This window comes from Homo sapiens, chromosome 19 (assembly GCF_000001405.40).
Source record: "Homo sapiens chromosome 19, GRCh38.p14 Primary Assembly".
NCBI classification, from domain to species: domain Eukaryota; kingdom Metazoa; phylum Chordata; class Mammalia; order Primates; family Hominidae; genus Homo; species Homo sapiens.
Window position 1 is genome coordinate 49214951 of NC_000019.10, and position 23148 is coordinate 49238098.

Sequence of the window (23148 nt, forward strand, 5' to 3'; positions counted from 1 at the left end):
TAGCCTGCAGTTACTATTTTTATACGGTGCAGTTACTATTTCTGCGCTGTTTCTTCTCATTCCTTTCACGGTTTCCTGAGACCTGTTTAATTTATCTGAGACCCGTGTATTAATTCATCTCTGTTGAAGTATCTATATAACAGGAAAACTCCAGGTCGTGTGTGTAGAAATCTGACGTGAGTCATCAAGATGGAGAATTTGCACGAATTCCACATGTAAAGCGATTTGGAGACCAAAAATTCCTTAATTGAAGAGGAGGCTGGTACTCTTGAGGAATTACCCTAAAATAACTGCTGCAAGCTTATATTTTGCATCTTCCATTCAAATAGGACTTGTCTCCGTTTATGCAGTAACTGTGTATTGGGGAAAGGAAAATACTCAGACCTTTTAGGGATTAGCAGACACTGGCCCGGCCTATTTATTCATTTTTGAGATGCAGTCTCACTCTCTTGCCCAAGTTCGAGTGCAGTGGTGTGATCACAGCTCACTGTGGCCTGGCTCAAGTGATCCTCCTGCCTCGGCCTCCTGAGTAGCTGGGATCACAGGTGCACGCCACCATGCCCATCAAATTTTTTTTTAAAAAAATTTAGGCCAGTGCGGTGGCTCATGCCTGTAATCCCAGCACTTTGGGAGGCCGAGGCAGGTGGATCACCTGAGGTCAGGAGTTCGAGACCAGACTGGCCAACATGGCGAAACCCTGTCTCTACTAAAAATGCAAAAATTAACCGGGCATGGTGGTGTGTGCCTGTAATCCCAGCTACTAGGGGGGCTGAGGAAGGAGGATCACTTGAACCTGGGAGGCGGAGGTTGCAGTGAGCCGAGATCATGCTGCACTCCAGCCTCCGCAACAGAGCGAGACTCCATCTCAAAACAAACCAAAAAATTGGTCTTTAATAATTTTTTATTTTTGAGACGGAATCTCGCTCTGTCACCCAGGCTGGAGTGCAGTGGCGCGATTTCAGCTTAATGCAACCTCCACCTCCCGAGTTCAAGCGATTCTCCTGCCTCAGCCTCCTGAGTAGCTGGGATAACAGGTGTGCGCCACCACGTCTGACAAATTTTTGTATTTTTAGTAGAGACAGGGTTTCACCATGTTGGCCAGGCTAATAAAGTTTTAAAATAAAAAAATAAAAGAAAAAAGAAAAATACACCACATTTGAGGTATTTTCCAACCCATTTAGTGAGTAACCTACAAAAATGCCAACTCGGAGTGTCGTCCAAGTGCGTGAGAAGGCTCTGCATCCGGCTGATGCTGAGCTTAAGCTCAGTCTTGTGACTCAGCAGCTCACATGATACTCAGAAAAGAATGTGGCAAATCGAGATGCTGTATGACCTCCAGAAAGTGCCAATAGGAGCATTTTCCGGCATAAACTCGTAGGGTTTTGGCACAAAGCCATGCCATCTTCTGCACACAACTCATCTCTGTGAAGAAACAATTCCTTGTCTCGGTTAGAGATAGATACCTGGCCATGGAGCACCGAGCAATGATAAAACCTGAGCTGACCATCAGGAACTCGGTGTAATCCGACCCACAAATCCAGAAGATTGAGCACAGGCAATGGCAGTGCATCAGGTGGAAATAAGAAATAAAGTGTTGGCCGGGCGCCATGGCTCACTCCTGTAATCCCAGCACTTTGGGAGGCCGAGACAGGTGGATCACCTGAGGTCAGGAGTTCGAGACCAGCCTGGCCAACATGGAGAAACCCCCATGTCTACTAAAAATACAAAATTAGACAGGCATGGTGGCGCATGCCTGTAATCTCAGCTACTCCGGAGGCTGAGGCAGGAGAATTGCTTGAACCTGGGAGGCAGAGGTTGCGGTGAGCTGAGATTGCACCATTGCACTCCAGCCTGGGCAACAAGAGCGAAACTCCATCTCAAAAAAAAAAAAAAAAAAAAAAGAACTAAGGTGTTGGCATAAGCAATGACACAAGCAAATTGCTTGAGTGGACAGCACAGACCGTTCTGCCATCTATACCCACTGTTTTGTCTTCTCTCCATTTATACCCATGGCTTCATGGACAGCTCCTCATGACTTTTTTTCTTTTCTTTCTTTCTTTTTTTTTGAGATGGAGTCTTGCTCTGTTGCTCAGGCTGGAGTGCAGTGGTGCGATCCTGGCTCACCACCTCTGCCTCCCAGGTTCAAGTGATTCTCCTGCCTCAGCCTCCCGAGTAGCTGGGACTACAGGTGTGCACCATCACGCCCAGTTAATTTTTGTACTTTTAGTAGAGACGGGGTTTCCCCATGTTGACCAGGCTGGTCTCAAACTCCAGACCTCAGGTGATCTGTCCTCCTCGGCTTCCCAAAATGCTGGGATTACAGGTGTGAGCCACCGCACCAGGCAGCTCCTCGTGATTAATTGAACTGGGGAGGACACAACTTTGGGCTGGTTTTTAGATGGCTCAGCATGATATACTAGGATTCTCAGAGTCAGCCACATTGCAGCCCTCAGAGGAACCAGCACTAGCCTGGCAGTCTCCCTTCCCAGAAATCTGAGCCCCAGCTCAGCAATGCCCACTTCTGAGCTGGGCAGCAACCCTGAGCAACCAATCTCAAGAGCCCTGAGGTTCATCTGATCCTCTCTTTGGTAACATAGCAGGATTGGCTCAGCAAGCCTGCGCTGACGCCACAGATACAGAAGAACAGGCTGATACCAGCTGCTGAGCCCCAGAGGCTGCCCTTTTCTAGCCAGAACATTTTTTCTGACCAGGAAGCTGTCATCGCCACATAGCTGTTTCTCCTCTTCCCCGATTCTATAAATACAAAAACACAGTCCTTCTTTACTGGGATGCTGCTGGCCACGGTGCAGGCAGACCGTTCATGTTTAGCCGGAGTCACGGGCTGGAGGGATGCTCCCTCCTCTACCTGTGCGTCTTCCCTCAGTGAATCTATTCCTGTCTCTATCACACAGGCCTAGTGGTGTGTGTGACAGTTGGTGACCACAGAGGAAAATTCTCCATCTGTCCTGCTGCCGTGTTCTTTTTGTTTGTTTGTTTTTAGACGAAGTCTTGTTCTGTTGCCCAGGCTGGAGTGCAGTGGCGCGATCTTGGCTCACTGCAACCTCCACCTCCCCAGTTCAAGGGATTCTCCTGCCTCAGCCTCCTGAGTAGCTGGGATTACAAGTGCCCGCCACCATGCCCGGCTAATTTTTGTACATATATATGTGTGTGTGTGTGTGTGTGTGTGTATAGGTATATACATATATATATGTATATATACACATATATTCGTATATATGTGTATATACACATATATTCGTATATATGTGTATATACATATATATTTGTATATGTGTATATACATACATACATATGTATATACACACATATGTATGTATGTATGTATGTATATATATATATATGTATTTTTTTTTTCTGAGACTGAGTCTTGGTCTATCACCCAGGCTGGGGTGCAGTGGCACAATCTTGGCTCACTGCAACCTCTGCCTCCCCAGTTCAAGCCATTCTCCAGCCTCAGTCTCCCGAGTAGCTGGGACTACAGGCGCCTGCCATCACGCCTGGCTAATTTTTGTATTTTTAGTAGACACAGGGTTTCACCATGTTGGCCAGGCTGGTCTCGAACTCCTGGCCTCAAGTGATCCGCCTGCCTCAGCCTCCGAAAGTGGTGGGATTACAGATGTGAGCCTGTGAGCCACCACACCCAGCCTGGTGCTGTGTTTGCAAGCAACATGGAGTTTGGCCCACTATGGAGGTGGAAGACATTCCCTCCTAATGGTGGTGGCAGGTCACATGTAAGGCCAGTGAGTAAACTGGATGTCCATGAAGCCAGGGTGGGCAGCAGAGCTGTGGTCAGCTAGTGCAGTGTACTCTGGAGAGGCTGCTGACGGGGTGGGGATGGCTGTGGTGTCCCCTCACCCGGGACCTGGTGAGGCCCCCTAAGATGCTGTCTGTTCCAGGTCTCAGGTGCAGGGAAAGACAGATGACTGTAAACAGAATGTGTAAGACACCAGAGGCCCCCAGACAAGCAAGTCATTTGAAAAACATGGTTCATTGTATACAAAAAGAAATCTCTAGGTAGCGGGGCTGCAGGTTTTCAGAGGAAAGGAGGCAGGAGGCTGGGATGAGGGCTAAAGAGTGCAGATGCAAATTACAAAATTAACCGAGTGTGGTGGTGGGCGCCTGTGGTCCCAGCTACTCAGGAGGCTGAGGTGGGAAGATCACTTGAGCCTGGGAGGTCGAGGCTATGGTGAGCCGTCATCACGCCACTGTACTCCAGCCTGGGTGACAGAGGGAGACCCTGTTTCAGAAAAGAAAAAGACGGAGGCCAAGGAACTGGTAATATCAAAAGGACGACGAGTGTAACTAGAGGGAACGGAGCTGTAAGGTTGGCTCAAAGCTGCAACCAAGCAAATGGGCTGCGGCCAAAACTGGGATGGATTTGCCTTTTTATTTATTTTTTATTTTTATTGTATTTTTTTGAGACGGAGTCTCACTTTGTCACCCAGGCTGGAGTGCAGTGGTGCAATCTCGGCTCACAGCAAATTCCACCTCCCGGGTTCAAGCGATTCTCCTGCCTCAGCCCCCCAAGTAGCTGGGACTATAGGCACGCGCCACTACTCCTGGCTAATTTTTGTTTGTTTTTGTTTGTTTGTTTGTATTTTTAGTAGAGACGGGGTTTCACTGTGTTAGCCAGGATGGTCTCGATCTTCTGACCTCATGATCCACCTGCCTTGGCCTCACAAAGTGCTGGGATTACAGGTGTGAGCCACTGCACCCGGCCGGATTTGCCTTTTTAGAACAAAGACGTAGGCAAGCCAAGGGGCTGATACACACAACCAGATTAAGTTTGGAAAAACTGTGGGCATTGGACACACGCTTTTGCTTCTCTTGAATATCTAGGATTGGGATGGCTGGATGGTATAGGAAGTGTATGTATGACTTTATAAGAAATTGCCAAAATCTTTTCCTAAGTAGTTGCACCGTTTGAATTTTGAATTTCCACCAGCAATGCATGAGAGCGTTCTAGTGGCCCTGATCCTTACCAGGACCTGCTATTATCAGTGCTTATGATTTTTTGTGTTTTTTTTGAGACAGAGTCTCTCTCTGTCACCCAGGCTGGAGTTAGTGGTGTGATCTCGGCTCACTGCAACCTTCACCTCCCAGATTCAAGCAATTCTCCTGCCTCAGCATCCTGAGTAGCCAATATTACAGGTGTACACCACCACACCCAGCTAATTTGTTGTATTTTTAGTAGAGATGGGGTTTCACCATGTTGGTCAAGCTGGTCTCGAACTCCTGACCCCAAATGATCAACCCACCTCGGCCTCCCAAAGTGCTAGGATTACAGGCGTGAGCCACCATGACCAGCAAGTTGTGTTTGTTTGTTTGTTTGTTTGTTTGTTTTTAGCACAAAGTATTGGCTGGGCACGGTGGCTTACACCTGTAATCCCAGCACTTTGGGAGGCTGAGGTGGGAGGATCACTTGAGGCCAGGAGTTCGAGACCAGGCTTGGGCAACATAGTGGGACTTTATGCCTACAAAAAATTTTTTAAAATTAGCTAGGTGGGGTGGTGTGTGCACCTGTAATCCCAGCTACACGGGAGGCTGAGGTGGGAGGATCATTTGAGCCTGCGAGTTTGAGGCTACAGTGAACTATGATTGCACCATTGCACTCCAGCCTAGGTGACAGAGCAAGACTCGGTCTCCCCGCCCCACCCCCCCAAAAAAAAGGATCAGGTAATGTGTACAAGTTTTTGTTTGAAGACCTGTCTTCAGTTCTTTTGGGTAGGTACCTAGGGGTGGAATGACTGGGTCATATATATGCTAATTCTGTGCTTAACTTTTTGAGGAACTGCCAAACTGTTTTACACAGTGGCTGGACCATTGTACATTCTCACCAGCAATGTACGGGGGTTCCAATTTCTTCACATCCATGCCAAACACTTGTTATTCGCAGTTTGTTTTCTTTTCTTTTTATTTTTCTTTTGAGATGGAGTTTAGCTCTTGTTGTCCGGGCTGGAGTGCAGTGGCACAATCTTGGCTCACCGCAACCTCTGCCTCCCGGGTTCAAGCGATTCTCCTGCCTCAGGATCCTGAGTAGCTGGAATTATAGGTGCCTGCCACCATGCCCGGCTAATTTTTGTATTTTTAGTAGAGATGGGGTTTCACCATGTTGGCCATGGTGGTCTCCAACTCCTGACCTCAGGTGATCCACCTGCCTTGACCTCCCAAAGTGCTGGGATTACAGGCGTGAACCACTGCGCCCGGCCCAGTTTATTTTCTTGATCGTAGCCATCCTAGTGGCTGTGGAGTGGTGTCCCATTGTGGTTTTGGTTTGCATTTCCCTAAGGACTAGTGATGCTGTGTTTTGACCATTCTCACATTCTTTTTTTTTTTTTTGAGACAGGGCTGGAATGCAGTGGCATGATCATAGCTCACTGCATCCTTGAACTCCTGGGCTCAGGAGATTCTCCCACCTCAGTCTCCTGAGTAGCTGGGACTACAGTTGTATGCCACCGTGCCCACGTAATTTATAAAAAAATTTTAGTAGAGACGGGATCTTACTATGTTGCCCAGGCTGGTCTCAAACTCCTGAGCACAAGTGATCCTCCTGCCTCAGCCTCCTGAGTAGCTGGGATTACAGATGCACACCACTATACCCAGCTAAGTTTTTATTTTTTTTTTTTTAAATAGAGATGGGTTTCATTATGTTGCTCAAGCTGGTCTGGAACTCCTGGGTTCAAGCGATTCTCCTGCCTTGGCCTCCCAAAGTGCTGGGATTACAGGTGTGAGCCACTGCGCCCAGCCTTATGCGTTCTTTGGAAGAAACGGCTTTTGGGTAATGGCCTGCACTGTTGTATTGTATCAGCTGCCATCCAGTCGAAGCTAACTAAGGGCAGGTGGGTGTTGAATGAGGACAATGCCCACCTGCCCTTAGTTAGCTGTGACTGCAAGAACAAAGACCCTGTTATCCCAATCATCATCATGAGGACTAGCTGGGCCGCAGCTTAAAGGGACATTTCATAGCTTAAAAAAGACAAACTGTTGGTCCTGCCACCTCCAACTACAAAGGTGTTGCAACTGATAAGCCTTTTGGGATCTTGAGGACGCCACATCTCACGTGTGGAAATTTCACTAACGTGGCTGCAGCAAGTGACCAGACAGATGGCCGCATTTGAGTGGGAGCCTCTTTAGCAAGAGCTTTTTAAAATCAAGCTCCACCCAGGAGCTCTTTATCTTCTTCAGAACCCACGGGATTACAGACATCTGCACCAGCCCCCGTGGGACCTTGGAGTCCAGGAGAATGAATACCAAGGCATTGATGCTCATGCTCCCTGCTGGCTGGTGAGTAATAAAGTCCCTTGTCTCTGGCCCAGGAGTCTTGTGTCTTCTGGCAACATTTGTGAAACAGTAATGGGCTAGCTTGTTTTATTTTTATTTTTATTTTTTATTTTATTGATTGATTCATTGAATTAGGGACAGGGTCTCACTCTGTCACCCAGGCTGGAGTGCAATGGTGCACTCCAACCTGGGCTCAAGTGATCCTCCCACCTCAGCCTCCCGAGTAGCTGGGACTACAGGTGCATGCCACTATGCCCAACTAATTTTTTACATTTTGTAGAGACGGTCTGGCTACATTGCCCAGAGTGGTCTCGATCTCCTGGGCTCAAGGGATCCTCCTGCTTCAGCCTCCCAAGGTGCTGGGATTACAGGCATGAGCCACTGCACCCAGCCCAGGCTGGCTTGTAAGTAGGACAAAATGAAAGTCCGGACCTGGTAGTGTGGAAAAGGATGGGATGTTGACAGAGGCGTGGCTTTCTGGAATTGGAAGGACAGGGCCTCCATGGGCCTGGTTCAAAAATATGAGAAGAATCCCTGGGATCCAGTAGGGAATTCTCTCATCCAAGTAGAGGAGGATGGCCAGGAATAGAGGTCTTCACTGTCCTACTTGTATTTTTTTTTTTTTTTTTTTTAGATGGAGTTTCACTGTTGTTGCCCAGGCTGGAGTGCAGTGGTGCAACCTCGGCTCACTGCAACCTCCGCCTCCTGGGTTCAAGCAATTCTCCTGCCTCAGCCTCCCGAGTAGCTGGGATTACAGGCAGGCACCGCCACGCCCGGCTAATTTTGTATTTTTAGTAGAGACGGGGTTTCTCCATGTTGGTCAGGCTGGTCTCGAACTCCCGACCTCAGGTGATCCACCTGCTTCGGCCTCCCAAAGTGCTGGGATTGCAAGCATGAGCCACCGCACCCAGCCTGTCCTACTTGTTAATGAGGCTCAGTGGCTACAGATAGGATCAAAATCAGTGGGCAAAACAGTGGGCAAATGGTGCCTGGCTGCACCTGGGTTCTTACCCTTCTCCAGGCAGGTGGAGGAAGAAATGGGATCATGAAAATGAGACAACAAGCCCCAGGGACCCAACCAAGAGGCAGCATGGCTGTGGCCGCTGGGTCAAAGGGTCTCTGAAACCGAAGTGGTATCAGCAACAAGGACCTTGTTATTTGTTTCTTTGTTTTGAGACAGGGTCTTGCTCTGTCACCCAGGCTGAAGTACAGTGGCGCAAACATGGCTCACTGTAGCCTCAAACTCCCAGGGCCAAGGGGTCCTCCCCACTCAGCCTCCCGAGTAGCTGGGACCACACGTATGCACCACTACACCCAGCTAATTTAAAATTTTTTTGTAGAGATGAGGTCTCGCTATGTTTCCCAGGCTGGTCGTGAGCTCCTGAGCACAAGTGATGCAATCACCTCGGCCTCCGAAAGCCCTGAGATTACAGGCATGAGCCGCTATGCCCTGCCTTGCTATTTGATATTGAGCCTTCAGTGGGCTGAAAACATTAGTGAAGATCCCACCCTGCGAGTGTTTCTGGCCCCACCACGGTCCAATTTGGATCCAGTCCACAGCTGGGTGCAGGGCTGGTCAAAGATGCTGAGGACTGGGAGGGCTGAGCCTGGCCATCTGTGGAAGAGCAGAAAGAGAGGGGCCTCTGTGCCTAAGAACTTGCTGGGTCCTGGGAGGTACCTGGGTTGCAGCTCTGGCACTGATCCTGGAGGGAGGAGCCAAGTGAGCCGATAGAGAGGTCAATAATGAAGTTTTTTTGTTGTTTGTTTTTTGAGATGGAGTCTTGCTCTGTCGCCCAAGCTGGAGTGCAGTGGCATGATCTTGGCTCACGGCAAGCTCTGCTTCCTGGGTTCATGCCATTCTCCTGCCTCAGCCTCCCCAGTAACTGGGACTACAGGTGCCCGCCACCATGCCTGGCTAATTTTTTGTATTTTTTATAGAGACGAGGTTTCACCGTGTTAGCCAGGATGGTCTCGATCTCCTGATCTCATGATCCACCCGCCTCTGCCTCCCAAAGTGCTGGGATTACAAGTGTGAGCCACCATGCCCGGCCCTTTTTTTTTTTTTTTTTTTTTTTTTGAGATGGAGTTTCACTCTTGTTGCCCAGACTGGAGTGCAATGACGCGATCTCTGCTCACTGCAAGCTCCGCCTCCCAGGTTCAAGCAATTCTCCTGCCTCAGCCTCCTGAGTAGCTGGGACTACAGGTGTGCACCACCACACCTGGCTAATTTTGTATTTTTGGTAGAGACGGAGTTTCTCCATGTTGGTCAGTCAGGTCTTGAACTCCTGACCTCAAGTGATCCGCCCGCCTCGGCCTCCCAAAGTGCTGGAACTACAGGTGTGAGCCACCGCGCCCGACCAACAATGAGTTTTTTTCCCCTGCCTTTGCTGTCCCCCTGGGATGCCCCCCAGCCCCAAGTTGCTCCAGGGCTGAGGCTGTAGTCCCTGACCCACAGACTTCTTGGTCCAAGTACCTGAATTCAACCAGTCAGGCTCCCAGTGGGAAGGGAAGCTGAAGAGATCTCGTTGGGTGTGGCACCTAGAGCCAATTCAATGTCCCGCTGTGTGGTTTCCACGACTGAGCGGGTGTAATTGGTACTGATGCTTTACATGCTCGAAAAAACTACACATGCCTTGTTATCAGAGGATTCTACCAGTCGGAGGCTGTGGCATATGCCGCCCTCTTCACCTCTACCAGAAACAATGTGGGATCCCAGTAGAAAAGGAAACACAACTGTAATGACTAAATGGCTGCTGGAGTGCTCCGGGAAGCCGTTTCCCAGTGCCACAGTGCCACCTGCCTGACACGGCCACCAAGTACACTCCTTTTAAAAAGAAAGGGCAGCTGGGCTGGGTGCGGTGGCTCACACCAAGAGGTGGGTGGATTGCTTGAGTCCAGGAGTTCAAGACCAGCCTGGGCGACATAGTGAAAACCCATCTCTGTTTTTTTTAAATTAAAATTTTATTTATTTATTTTGAGACAGAGTCTTGCTCTGTGACCAGGCTGGAGTGCAGTGGTACGATCTCGGTTCACTGCAACCTCCACCTCTGGGGTTCAAGCGATTCTCCTGCCTCAGCCTCCCCAGTAGCTGGGATTACAGGCACCTGCCACCATGCCCAGATAACTTTTGTATTGTTAGTAGAGACTGGGTTTCACCATGTTGGTCAGGATGGTCTTGATCTCTTGACCTTGGGATCTACCCACCTCTGCCTCACAAAGTGCTGGGATTACAGGCGTGAGCCACCGTGCCCGGCCCTGTCTCTCTTCTAATAAATAATAAAAAAAGAAAAGAAGGCCGCTATGAATCACTATTAAGCTCTCCTTGAAAGCAAACGCCTGGCTTGTGGTGGCCTTTGACTCCCCAGCCTCACACCCTTGTTCTCGGGTAGGTTAACTGCAGCTTCACTAGCAATACCGGAAATGGCCAAAGGTAAAGGGTACGTCTAAGAGCACAGCTGGTCTGGTCCTCAGGTCTTCTGAGTTTTACATACAAAAGTCACAGCTACCCCTGTTTCTTCTGTTTTCTGTTTCGAGACGGTCTTGCTGTGTTGCCCAGGCTGGAGTGCAGTGGCATGATCGTGGCTCACTGCAGCCTGGAACTCCTGGGCTCAAGCGATCCTCCCACCTCAACCTCCTGAGTAGCTGGGACTATAGGCATGCGCCAGCATACCCGGTTAATTTTTTAATTTTTTTTTTTTCCAGAGACAGAGTCTCGCTGTGTTGCCCATGCTGGTCTTGAACTCCTGGGCTCAAGCAATCCTCCTGCCACGGCCTCCCAAAGTGCTGGAATTACAAGTGTGAGCCGCCGCACCCCGCAGCAGCTACCCCATTTGGAGAAAACTCTCCTCCACTCCCCTGCCTGAGGCAATTCCTCTGGCTCAATGGGGCCCTCAATTCAAACGGGTTCCCTTAAACGGCTGGGCGCATTCCACTATGTTAAACCTAAAGATGTCCACTAGGGGGCAGCAACCACCTAACCCCAACACCAACTCCGGAAGACATTGATTGCAGTTTGGTTGATATTTAAGGTATTCAATGGGACTTTGTAACTTCCTCACTATCTGCGGGTGTCTGGTATTATTGATTGTTGGATCATCTTCCTCAAGAATCAGCTCAAAAAGGTTTCTGGTTTCCCCTTCCTACCTCTTCCTGATCCACACACTTTATTTATTTATTTTTTGAGACAGATGCTCTGTTGCTCAGGCTGGAGTGCAGTGGTGCCATCTCGGCTCACTGTAACCTCTGCCTCCTGGGTTCAAGCGATTCTCCTGCCTCAGCCTCCCAAGTAGCTGGGATTATAGGCGTCACCATGCCTAGGTGATTTTTGTATTTTTAGTAGAGATAGGTTTCACCATGTTGGCCAGCTGGTCTCGAACCCCTGACCTCAAGTGATCCACCCGTCTTGGCCTCCCAAAGTGGGGGGATCACAGGCGTGAGCCACCACACCCGGCCGCACACACTTTACTCAGGCCGTTTGGTCACTGAATGTGGCAGTCCCAGAAGAGGCTTCATCTCTTCTTGGCTGCATCTTGGATAGTCCCTGAGACAGAAGTGTTGGAGGAGTTACAGAGACCCGAGGTCAGGAGATCGAGACCATCCTGGCTAACATGGTGAAACCCCGTCTCTACTAAAAATACAAAAAATTAGCCGGGCTTGGTGGCGGGCGCCTGTAGTCCCAGCTACTCAGGAGGCTGAGGCAGGAGAATGGCATGAACCCGGGAGGCGGAGCTTGCAGTGAGCCGAGATCACACCACTGCACTCCAGCCTGGGTGACAGAGCAAGACTCCGTCTCAAAAAAAAAGTACAATTTTGCCCGCTGACCATTGTTGGGAATGATGCATCTTTCTTTCCGCTGGACAGCCTGGTGGTCATGCCCTCCAGATGGCAGTTGAGTCCTGAGGGGGCCAAGTAGGGGATTCAAACTAATGCTGGTTTAGGCACCAGAATCCCCTTGTTGGACCGACATGGTGCTAGATCAGGAGTTGGCACACTATAGCCTGTGGGATACATCTGGCCTGTGACCTGTTTCTGTGTGGTCTATAAACTAACAAAGCTTTTCATATATTTTAAAGAATGTGTTGTTGTTGTTGTTGTTGTTGTTGTTTTTGAGATGGAATCTCGCTTTGTCGCCCAGGCTGGAGAGCAGTGGTATGATCTTGGCTCACTGCAAGCTCCGCCTCCTGGGTTCACGCCATTCTCCTGCCTCAGCTTCCCGAGTAGCTGGGATTAAAGGTGCCCGCCACCATGCCCGGCTAATTTTTGTATTTTTAGTAGAGACGGGGTTTCTCCATGTTGGCCGTCCTGGTCTTGAACTCCTGACCTCAAGTGATCCACCTGCTTCAGCCTCCCAAAGTGCTGGAATTACAGGCGTGAGCCACGGCTCAGCCAAGAATTGTTTAAAAAAAAAAAAAAAAAAAAAAAGCCAGGTGTGGTGGCTCACCTCTGTAATCCTAGCACTTGGGGAGGCTGAAGCAGAAGGATCACTTGAGCCCAGGAGATCAAGACTAGCCTGGGCTATGTGGTGAAAGCCTGTCTCTACAAAAAATTAAAAATTAGCTGGGTGTGCTGGTGCACGCCTGTAGTCCCAGCTACTCGGGAGGCTGAGGTGGGAGGATCGCTTGAGCCTGGGAGGTCGAAGCTGCAGTGAGATATTATTGTACCACAGCTCTCCAGCCTCAGTGACAGAGCAAGATCTTGTTTCAAAAAGAAAAAAGAAAAAGATGACTATGCCACAGAAAACAAATGCCCTACAAAACCCAAAATACTATTACCTGGTTCTTTCCAGAAAAAGTTGGCTCACTCCTGTGTTAGTTGAAACAACCTGCTGATATTACTTATGTGGCTTAACTGAGACAATGTAACGGTAATTCCAGCCAAGCTTAACAACAAAATCCAATGACTGTCTCTTCTCAGGTTGGGGAGGTAAGCTGTGGCATGCCCATTGTGGATGGGGGTTGCTTTTAGGCTCATCTGTTGTCACCCTGTAATTGTTTGTAAAGACATCAAAGATCAGATCAGTTTTTTTATTTTTAAATTTCTTTTTTTGGTATTTTAGCAGATCAGCCTAAAGTTCTCTGCTCTGCTTATAATGGACAATAGAGTCGCCTTAGACTATATCCTGGTTGTCCAAAATAAGATGTACTGGTCCTCTGGGACCAGTTTTTACTTTTTTTTTTTCTGAGATGGAGTTTCACTCTTGTTGCCCAGGCTGGAGTGTAATGGCATGATCTCAGCTCGTTGCAACCTCTGCCTCCCGGGTTCAAGCGATTCTTCTGCCTCAGCCTCCCAAGTAGCTGCGATTACAGGCATGTGGCACCATGCCCGGCTAATTTTGTATTTTTAGTAGAGACGTGGTTTCTCCATGTTGATCAGGCTGGTCTTGAACTCCTGACCTGAGGTGATTCCCCCTCCTCGGCCTCCCAAAGTACTGGGATTACAGACGTGAGCCACCACACCTGGACTTTTATTTTTTTTTTATTTTAATTTTATTGTATTAGAGACAGGGTCTTGCTCTGTCACCTAGGCTGGAGTACAGTGGCGTGATCTTGGCTCACTGCAACCTCAACCTTCTGGGTTCAGGGGATCCTCCCGCCTCAGCCTCCCAAGTAGCTAGGATTACAGGTGTGCCACCACTTCTGGCTAATATTGTTTTTGTATTTTTTGTAGAGATGGGCCTTCACTACGTTGCCCAGGCTGATCTTGAACTCCTAAGATTAAATGATCTGCCGGTCTCAGCCTCCCAAACTGCAGGGATTACAGGCATGAGCCACCTTGAGACTTATTCACAGTTGGCTGAGTCTAGGACCCTGGGGGACATAGTTGAGAGTTGAGGTCAATACTCAAGGTTGGCCTGATCTTGCTGTTGGGAGTCCCATCAAAAGTAGCCTTAATTAAAGGCCGAATGAGACAAATTGAAGTGATTTTTTTTTTTTTTTTTGAGATGGAGTCTCTGTGGCCCAGGCTGGAGTGCAATGGCACAATCTTGGCTCATTGCAACCTCTGCCTCCCAGGTTTAAGCGATTCTTCTGCCTCAGCCTCCCAAGTAGCTGGGATTACAGGCACCTACCACGACACCTGGCTGTTTTTTTGTATTTTTAGTAGAGAAAGAGTTGCCCCATGTTGGCCAGGCTAGTTTCAAACTCCTGACCTCAAGTGATTTCAGCCTCCCAAAGTGCTGGGATTACAGGTGTGAGCCACCATGCCTGGCCTGAAGTGATTTTATTCCAGCCTGTTAGTTAGATGAATCAGAGTGGCTGATGGGTGTCAGAGTCATTTGAAAACTTGCCAGAAGCTAAGATGATGCGGGTCTGGGGGTGGGTATTGCTGTGTTGGGAGACTGTCCTCCACAGTTGTCTTGTGTTTCCTGCATGTTGTGTGGGGTGTGCATGGCTGCAAGGCCCTGGTCACTGTTTCTTCAGGGTTGTTTACGCAGCTGGCAAACTTGAGCAATGAGGCAACCCCTCCCCTCTCACAAAGAGAGGCTTGCTTGTTGATTGCTATAAAGAAGAGGGGGTTCCCTAAGCTCAGTGCTCCTCTCCTGTAATACAACCCTCTGTACGTGCAGGCATCCACCTGGGCCCTGGCATTGCCCTTACAGAGTTTGGAGAGAAAGGAGAACCAATGAAAACATGCTGTGTTTATGCTGCTGGCTGTACTGGGAGGAATATGGTCCTTTGTCTCTGACCCAGGAGTTTCATGTCTTCTGCCAAGATACATTACATGGACAGATACATTAGGTAGATAGATACATTAGATATAGATAGATACATTAGATATAGATAGATACATTAGATATAGATACATTAGATATAGATGGATACACAGATAGATACACAGATAGATAGATAGATAGATAGATAGATAGATAGATAGATAGATAGATTCATTTATTTATTGAGACAGAGTCTTGCTCTGTCACCGAAGCTGGAGGGTAGTGGCTTGTTCTTGGCTCACTGCAACCTCCACCTCCTGGGTTCAGGTGATTCTCCTGCCTCAGCCTCCACAGCAGCTGGGATTACATGCCCACCTAATTTTTGTATTTTTAGTACAGACAGGGTTTCACCATATTGCCCAGGCTGGTCTCGAACTCCTGACCTCAGGTGATCTTCCCGCCTTGGCCTCTCAAAGTGCTGGGATTACAGGCATGCACTACCGCGCCCAGCCAGATGCCGCCATTAAGTGCTTTTTTGGGAAGAGGTTGCTCACACCTCCATTTGTACAAGGGATACTTGCATTCTATTAGATGGAAGCACAATGATGTTTTCTTGTTGTATAAAAGTTTAAATAAGGGTAGATTTGTGTGAACAGATACTGAGTAGCCAAAATGTTGGCCTGTGTTGGACACTGTTGCCTCTCAGTTCCATATTCTTCTTTCTTCTCTTTTCTATCGATGGCCAGGCTAGGAAGCCTACAAAACATATTCCCCAGGCCCCTGTGGTATTGTCAGTGAGGCATGTTGCTTTCTGCTGCTTTAAATGCTTTACTCACAGCCCTAACCTCTTTGCACTCAATTCCAGCACTTATGTCATCTCTGCGTCTACTGCTTGTCTTTTTCTCTTGGTGAGTTGCAATTTTGATTCTTTGTATGCTGAGCAATTTTGGGTTGTATTCTGGACATCTTAAATATTATGTGATAAGGTGCTGGGTCTTGTTTAAATTCTATGTAGATTGTGGATACGTTTTGTGCGGGGGGGTTGTTTTGTTTCGTTTTTGACACAAGGTCTCCCCCTGTCTCCCAGGCTGGAGTGCAGTGGCGTGATCTTGGCCCACTGCAACCTCCGTCTCCCAGGTTCAAGAGATTCTCCCACCTCAGCCTCTTGAGTAGCTGAGATTACAGGCATGTGCCACCACAGCCCGGCTAATTTTTGTATTTTTATTAGAGATGGGGTTTCATCATATTGCTCAAGCTGGTCTTGAACTTCTGACCTCAGGTGATCCACCCGCCTTGGCCTCCCAAAGTACTGGGATTACACGCATAAGCCACCACGCCCGGCCTGTTTTAGTTTTGTTGAGACAGTGTCTCGCTCTGTTGCTCAGGCTGGAGTGCAGTGGCATGACCTCGGCTCACTGCAGCCTCCACCTCCCAGGCTCAAGCGATCCTCTCACCTCAGCCTCCCAAGTATCTGGGATTACAGGCACGTGCCACCATGCCTGGCTAATTTTTGTATTTTTTGGTATAGATGGGGTTTCACCATATTGGCCAGGCTGGTCTTGAACGCCTGACTGCAAGTGGTCCTCCTGCCTCGGCCTCCCAAAGTGCTGTGATTACAGGCGTGAGCCACCACACCCGGCGATACTTTTGTTTTGACAGGTCACTGACCTAGTTTGGTTCAGCTCAGGGCTTCTGAGCAGCCTGCTGTGGGTTGTGGTTTCAGGTGAGTTCTGACTTCAAAGTCGTTACAATGACTTTCTAATCTGTCTTCCCCATGGACCACCCACTGGCCAGACTGGAACCCAGATGGTGTTGAATCCCTTCATTGTGTCTTCAACATCTTTGGAATGTTGTTTAGGCTCAGATCCACATGCATCTTAGGGGCAAACAGAGAAATTCATGAAAGCAACTTCATTAGGTCACTTTCCCAATCTCCTCCCTCTCCGCGGTACTTTCTGGTTTCTCTCCCCTTTGTTGGTCCTCCAGCCAGAAAGCTGGGGCCTCAGCTACCCCACTTGCCTCACACTTCCTGTGATTGAACCTGCATCTACAGCGAAGTGGGCAGGAGGATGCAGGGGGAAAGAAAGCAATGGGGATGGGTGCTGTCCCCGGGGGACCACAGAGCCTTGATCAGGGAGGAGAGAACAGAGAAAGAAACAGAAAAAGGGGAAACAGGGGATTCCCCCACCCTCTGATCATTAAAAGGCATTCATTCATTCATTCATTCATTCATTCATTCGAGATGGAGTCTCACTCTGTCGCCCAGGTTGGAGTGCAGTGGCGCGATCTCGGCTCACTGCAACCCCCGCCTCCTGGGTTCAAGTGATTCTCCCACGTCAGCTTCCCAAGTAGCTGGGATGAAAGGCATCAACCACCAGGCCTGGCTAATTTTTGTATTTTTTGGTAGAGACGGGGTTTCACCATGTTGGCCAGGCTGGTCTTAAACTCCTGACCTCAAGTGGTCCACCAACCTTGGCGTCCCAAAGTGCTGGGATTACAGGTGTGAGCAACGGTGCCTGGCTGGCCCTTATTATTATTATAAAGATGATAATATATTCATTGAACTTAGGGCCTTAGGACATTTTTTTTTAGTCTTACAATCTTGCTCTGTCGCCCAGGCTGGAGTGCAGTGGTGTGATCATAGCTCACTGCAGCGTTGACCTCCCAGGCTCAGGCGACACTCCCACCTCAGCCTCCCAAGTAGCTGGGACCACAGGCACATGCCACCACACAGGGCTAATTTTTAATTATTTTTTTTCCAGAGACGGAGGATCTTGCTATGTTACCCAGGCTGGTCTCCAATTCCTGGGCTCAAGCAATCCTCCCACCTTGGCCTCCCAAAGAGCTGGGATTACAGATGTGAGCCACGACACCTGGCCCTGAAAATTTTGTTTGCAATGAACAATTTTAAGAGATTGGGTATTGTTTTCAAAGTGGAATAGCAGCAAATAGTCCTTTCTTTGCTCAAGAGCCCTATTTGGGTATTCAGAAGTTCTTATTAATGTTTCCCTTCCTCCTGCTTCTCTGCACAACCCTACCTCCTCTGCTTCTTCTACACCAATGTACCTGGACTTGGATGGCTTGGGGTATTGGGCTGAGCCCATCGCTGGAAGGACCTGAGGCTAGGAATGGTGGGCTGTGGGCAGGTTAAGAGGGAAGAAGAGGCTGGAAAGTTTCTGGGCCGTCTGTGGGAGGGAAGACTCCCTGGGACTCACTCACCAGGGGGTTGCTGAACGTCACTGAGGCTGCTTTGGTGTGGCCTTTCTGCCTTTGACAGCAGGAGGAACTGGGGTGAGAACAAAGCTATTGGCAAAGGAGAAAGGGGAGAGGTTAGGGATCCAGGAATCAGGCCTCTGCCCCTTCTCCTTCAGCGTCTCCCTCTTTCTTTCTTTCTTTCTTTCCTTCTTTCTTTCTTTTCTTTCTCTTTCTTTTTTCTCTTTCTCTTTCTTTTTCTTTTTCTTTCTTTCCTTTCTTTCTTTCCTTTCCTCCTTTCTTTCCTTCCTTCCTTCTCTCTTTCTCTCTTTCTTTCTTTTTCTTGGAGATTCCACTTTTGTTGCCCAGGCTGAAGTGCAATGGTACAATCTCACCTCACTGCAACCTCCACCTCATGGATTCAAGTGATTCTCCTGCCTCAGTCTCCTGAGTAGCTGGGATTACAGGCACGTGCCACCATGCCCGGCTAATTTTTGTATTTTTAGTAGAAAAGGGATTTCGCCATGTTGGCCAGGCTGGTCTCAAACTCCTGATCTCAGGTGATCTGCCTGCCTCGGCCTCCCAAAGTGCTGGGATTACAAGCGTGATCCACCACGCCCGGCCTCCATTGCTTTCTGTTCCCAGTCCCCGACACACACATCTAAAAAGGCAAGTTCGACGAGAGCCAGGATTTTTATCTGTCCCGTTTCTGGTTGTATCCCTGACACCTAGAACAGATGAGAGTTCTTGACACAGAGTATGAACTCCATAAATATTTTTAGGCCGAGCATGGTGGTTCACGCCTGTAGTCCCAGCACTTTGGGAGGCCAAGGAGGGAGGATTGCTTGACCCCAGGAGTTTAAGACCTGCCTGGGCAACATAGGAGATGCTGACTCTACAAAATAAAAAATAACAAAATAGCTGTGCATGGTGGTGTACCCCTGTCATCCCAGCTACTCGGGAGGCTGAGGTGGGAGAATCGTTTGAGCCCAGGTGTTGGAGGCTGCAGTGAGACATCATTGCACCACTGTACTTCAGGCTAGGCAACAGAATTAGACCCTGTCTCTAAAAGAAAAAAATAAAAAATACTTAAAAATTAGATCAATGAATGAATGAATGAAAAAGTGTTTGGGACTAGGTGCAGTGACTCATACCTGTAATCCCAGCACTTTGGGAGGCCAAGTTGGGTGGATCACTTGAGGTCAGGAGTTTGAGACCAGCCTGCCCAACATGGTGAAACCCTGTCTCTACTAAAAATACAAAACTTAGCCAGGCATATTGGCGGGCACTTGTAATCCCAGCTATTCAGGAGGCTGAGGCAGGAGAATCGCTTGAACCTGGGAGGCAGAGTTTGCGGTGAGCCGAGATTGTGCCACTGCACTCCAGCCTGGGCAACAGAGTGAGATTCTGTCCAAAAAAAAAAAAAAGGCAGCTCTGGGAAGGAAGAGGTTAACTGCCTTCTGGCAGACCCTAGAAGGGATGACTTTTACTTTTTATCTACCGCTAAGGATGAGTTGGGAATTGAGCAGATGGAGAAAGGTGGGAAGATTATCCCAGGCAGAGGGAACTGCATGTGTGGAGGACCGAGGCAGGGAGCTGCAGGTGGAGCCTGACTCGTAAGTCCCTGTGGCTTCAGTGCAGAGAGTGATTGGCAAGTAATGCAGGATGAAGCTGGACAGACTTGATGAGGTCATCAAAGTAGAGAAGCTGGGGATTTTTCCTGGTACATTGGGGAGCTGTGGGAGTCCTGTGAGCAAAGAAGCAGCAAACTCCTCTCTGGGGCCATTTGGGGAGTGGGCTGGAGGGAACAAGTGAAGGCTGGGAGGCCAGGAGGGAGGCTGGGTTGATGGTCTAGGCAGGAGAGGATGAGGTATGAATAAGCTGGGGTCCGGGTGTGGAGACGAAGAAGGTGGAATTGGGCAGAGAAAGTCAGGGGGCAGCAGGGATGGGGCTGGGGGCTGATGGGCTGTGGGGAGGTGAAGGGGAGGAAAGGAGAGAGGAAGGTGCCTGGGGTGTGGCCTGGTGACTGGGTAGACAGTGGCTCCACTCCTGAGAGGTACAGAATCTGGGAGAATGGGGTCTGGGAGGCAGATGCTGAGTGTGAGAGACTGTGGGGAGAGGAGGTGGGCCAAGAAGCATTTCAACTTAATTAAAAAATTCTGCACATAACATTTTATGATGAGGCCAGGCGTGATGGCTCACGCCTGTAATCCCAGCACTTTGGGAGGCTGAGGCAGGTGGATCACTTGAGGGTAGGGAGTTCAAGACCAGCCTGGGCAACATGGAGAAACCCCATCTCTACTAAAAAATACAAAAATCAGCCAGGCATGGTGGCAGGTGCCTGTAATCCCAGCTACTTGGGAGACTGAGGCAGGAGAATTGCTTGAATCCGGGAGGCGGAGGTTGCAGTGAGTCGGGATCTGTGTCAGTGCACTCCAGCCTGGGCGACAGCACAAGACTTCGTCTCAAAACAAAACAAAACAAAAAAATACCCCCAAACAACAACAACAAAACATTTTATTATGGAAACAGTTATAACCTACAGAAAAGTAGAGAAAATCATATAACGAAACCCCACGTACTCATCATTCAGCTCATTCCGCTTCAGTGTGAAACATTTTTGCCGTTCCTCTTTTGTTTACGACTCCATCCGCACTTAGTTATATTTTGCTACAGTGTTTAATAGTACATCTGGTGCTTCTTAAAAATGGAAATGATTTTTTTTTGGCTGCAGTAATGGTATCATATGTTCTCTAAAGAATTGATACTGTGCTGAAAATACAAAAAAAAAAAAAACAACATAAATGGGTCAGGTGCAGTGGCTCATACCTGTAATCTCAGTACTTTGGGAGGCTGAGGCAGGAGGATTGCGTGAGCCCAGGAGTTTGAGACCAGCCTGGGCAGCATGGGAAAAATCCCATCTCTACAAAAAATAAAATACAAAAAATTAGCCAGGTATGGTGATGTGTGCCTGAGGTTCCAGTTACTGGAGGGGCTCAGGCAGGACGATCGCTTGAACCCCGGAGTTGGAGGCTGCAGTGAGCTATAATTGTACCACCGCACTCCAGCCTGGGCAACAGGGCAAGAACTCCATCTCAAACAACATAAATGTCATTCATCATTGCAATTCTCATGCAACTGATGTTAAAGTTTGGTTCTATATCCTCCTAGACACTTTACACAGATACTTTTGCAAAAGTAGGAGTATACCATTGTAACAGGAATGCCACACCAAAGGTTGCTGCCTAGCCATGAGAACACCTCTCCTGAGTGGTCCAAGCTGGTGGTCAGAGATGAGCACCTAGAGGCATCTTTGTCACCCAGCAGACTAGGCTCTCCACTTTCCTGCTGCTTCCTTTAAATGGACCATTCAGACATTTGCCTGTGAATTTAAAGTGATCCACACCCTTCTCCTCTGTACACCTATTCCGCTAGCTGTGATGCATTCTCTCTCTCTCTCTCTCTGACTCTTCTTCTTCCCTGCCTTGCAGGACCCAGGGATGGAGCAGTGTCCTCACTCATTGCACTCACCCTACCCAGGATCTGTAAGTAATAAATCTTGGACCTTATATATATATTTATTTTAATTTGATTTCCATTGGTTATTGGGAAATAGGTGGTGTTTGGTTACATGAGTAAGGTCTTTAGTGGTGATTTGTGAGATTTTGGTGCGATTATCTCCTGAGCAGTATACACTGAGCCCAATTTGTAGTCTTTTATTCCTCGCTCCTTTCCCACCCTGAGTCCCAAAAGTCCATCGTGTCATTCTTATACCTTTGCATCCTCATAGCTTAGCTCCCACTTATGAGTAAGAACATACAATATTTGGTTTTCCATTCCTGAGTTACTTCCCTTAGAATAATAGTCTCTAATCCTATCTAGGTTGCTGCAAATGCCATTAATTCATTCATTTTTATGGCTAGGTAGTATTCCATCATGTATCTATATATACACATATATATGTATATATATGTGTATATATACACATATATATGTATATATATACACGTGTATATATATGTGTGTGTGTATATATATACGTGTATATATGTGTGTGTATATATATACGTGTATATATATGTGTGTATATGTGTGTGTGTGTGTGTGTGTGTGTGTGTGTGTATATATATATATATATACACACCACAGTTTCCTTATCCACTTGTTGATTGATGGTGGGCATTTGTGTTGCTTCCACGTTTTTGCAATTGCAAATTATGCTGCTATAAACGTGTGTGCAAGTATCTTTTTCATACAACTTCTCTTCTTCTGGGTACATACCCAGGAGTGGGTGTTGTTTTTTGTTTTTTGTTTTTTCTGTTTTTTTTTGTTTTTTATGAAGTCTCGCTTTGTCACCAGGCTGGAGTGCAGTGATGTGATCTCGGTTCACTGCAACCTCTGCCTCCCGGGTTCAGGCAATTCTCCTGCCTCAGCCTCCTGAGTAGCTGGGATTACAGGTGCACGCCACCACGCCTAGCTAATTTTTGTATTTTTAGTAGAGACGGGGTTTCACCGTGTTGGCCAGGATGGTCTTGATCTCTTGACCTCGTGATCCTCCCACCTCAGACTCCCAAAGTGCTGGGATCACAGGCGTGAGCCACCGCAGCCGGCATCCAGGAGTGGTTTTGCTGGATCAAATGGTAGCTCTACTTTTAGTCCTTTAAGGAATCTCCACACTGTTTTCCATAGTGGCTGTACTAGTTTACATTCCCACCAGCAGTGCAGAAGTGTCACACCGCATCCATGGCAACATCTATTATGTCTTGATTTTTTGATTATGACCTTTCTTGCAGGATTAAGGTGGTATCTCATGGTGGTTTTGATTTGCATTTCCCTGACCATTAGTGATGTTGAGCATTTTTTCATATGTTTCTTGGCCATTTCCATATCTTCTTCTGAGAATTGTGTATTCATGTCCTTAGCCCACTTTTTGATGGGATTGTTTTTGTTCTTGCTAATTTGAGTTCGTTGTAGTTTCTGGATATTGATATTAGTCCTTTGTC

The 23148-nt window shown here is 48.1% G+C and overlaps 1 long non-coding RNA gene across 1 annotated transcript in view, besides 2 other annotated features; it reads left to right on the top strand.

Annotated features, from left to right (window-relative positions):
- The first annotated feature begins 6893 nt into the window (after positions 1–6893).
- LOC107985340 (uncharacterized) overlaps positions 6894–23148 on the top strand; it is a 47653-nt gene continuing 31398 nt past the window's right edge. The window contains exons 1-2 of the long non-coding RNA XR_001753971.2: positions 6894–7305; positions 21637–21690. This is a non-coding gene — a long non-coding RNA (uncharacterized LOC107985340). The remainder of the gene's footprint in view (positions 7306–21636; positions 21691–23148) is intronic.
- Positions 11129–11178: an enhancer, noted in NCBI's record as "active region_14928". NCBI's record gives its function as "activates an Ori minimal core promoter by ATAC-STARR-seq in GM12878 lymphoblastoid cells {active_cell/tissue: GM12878}" and the evidence as "EXISTENCE:reporter gene assay evidence [ECO:0000049][PMID:35858748]".
- Positions 17064–17143: an enhancer, noted in NCBI's record as "active region_14929". NCBI's record gives its function as "activates an Ori minimal core promoter by ATAC-STARR-seq in GM12878 lymphoblastoid cells {active_cell/tissue: GM12878}" and the evidence as "EXISTENCE:reporter gene assay evidence [ECO:0000049][PMID:35858748]".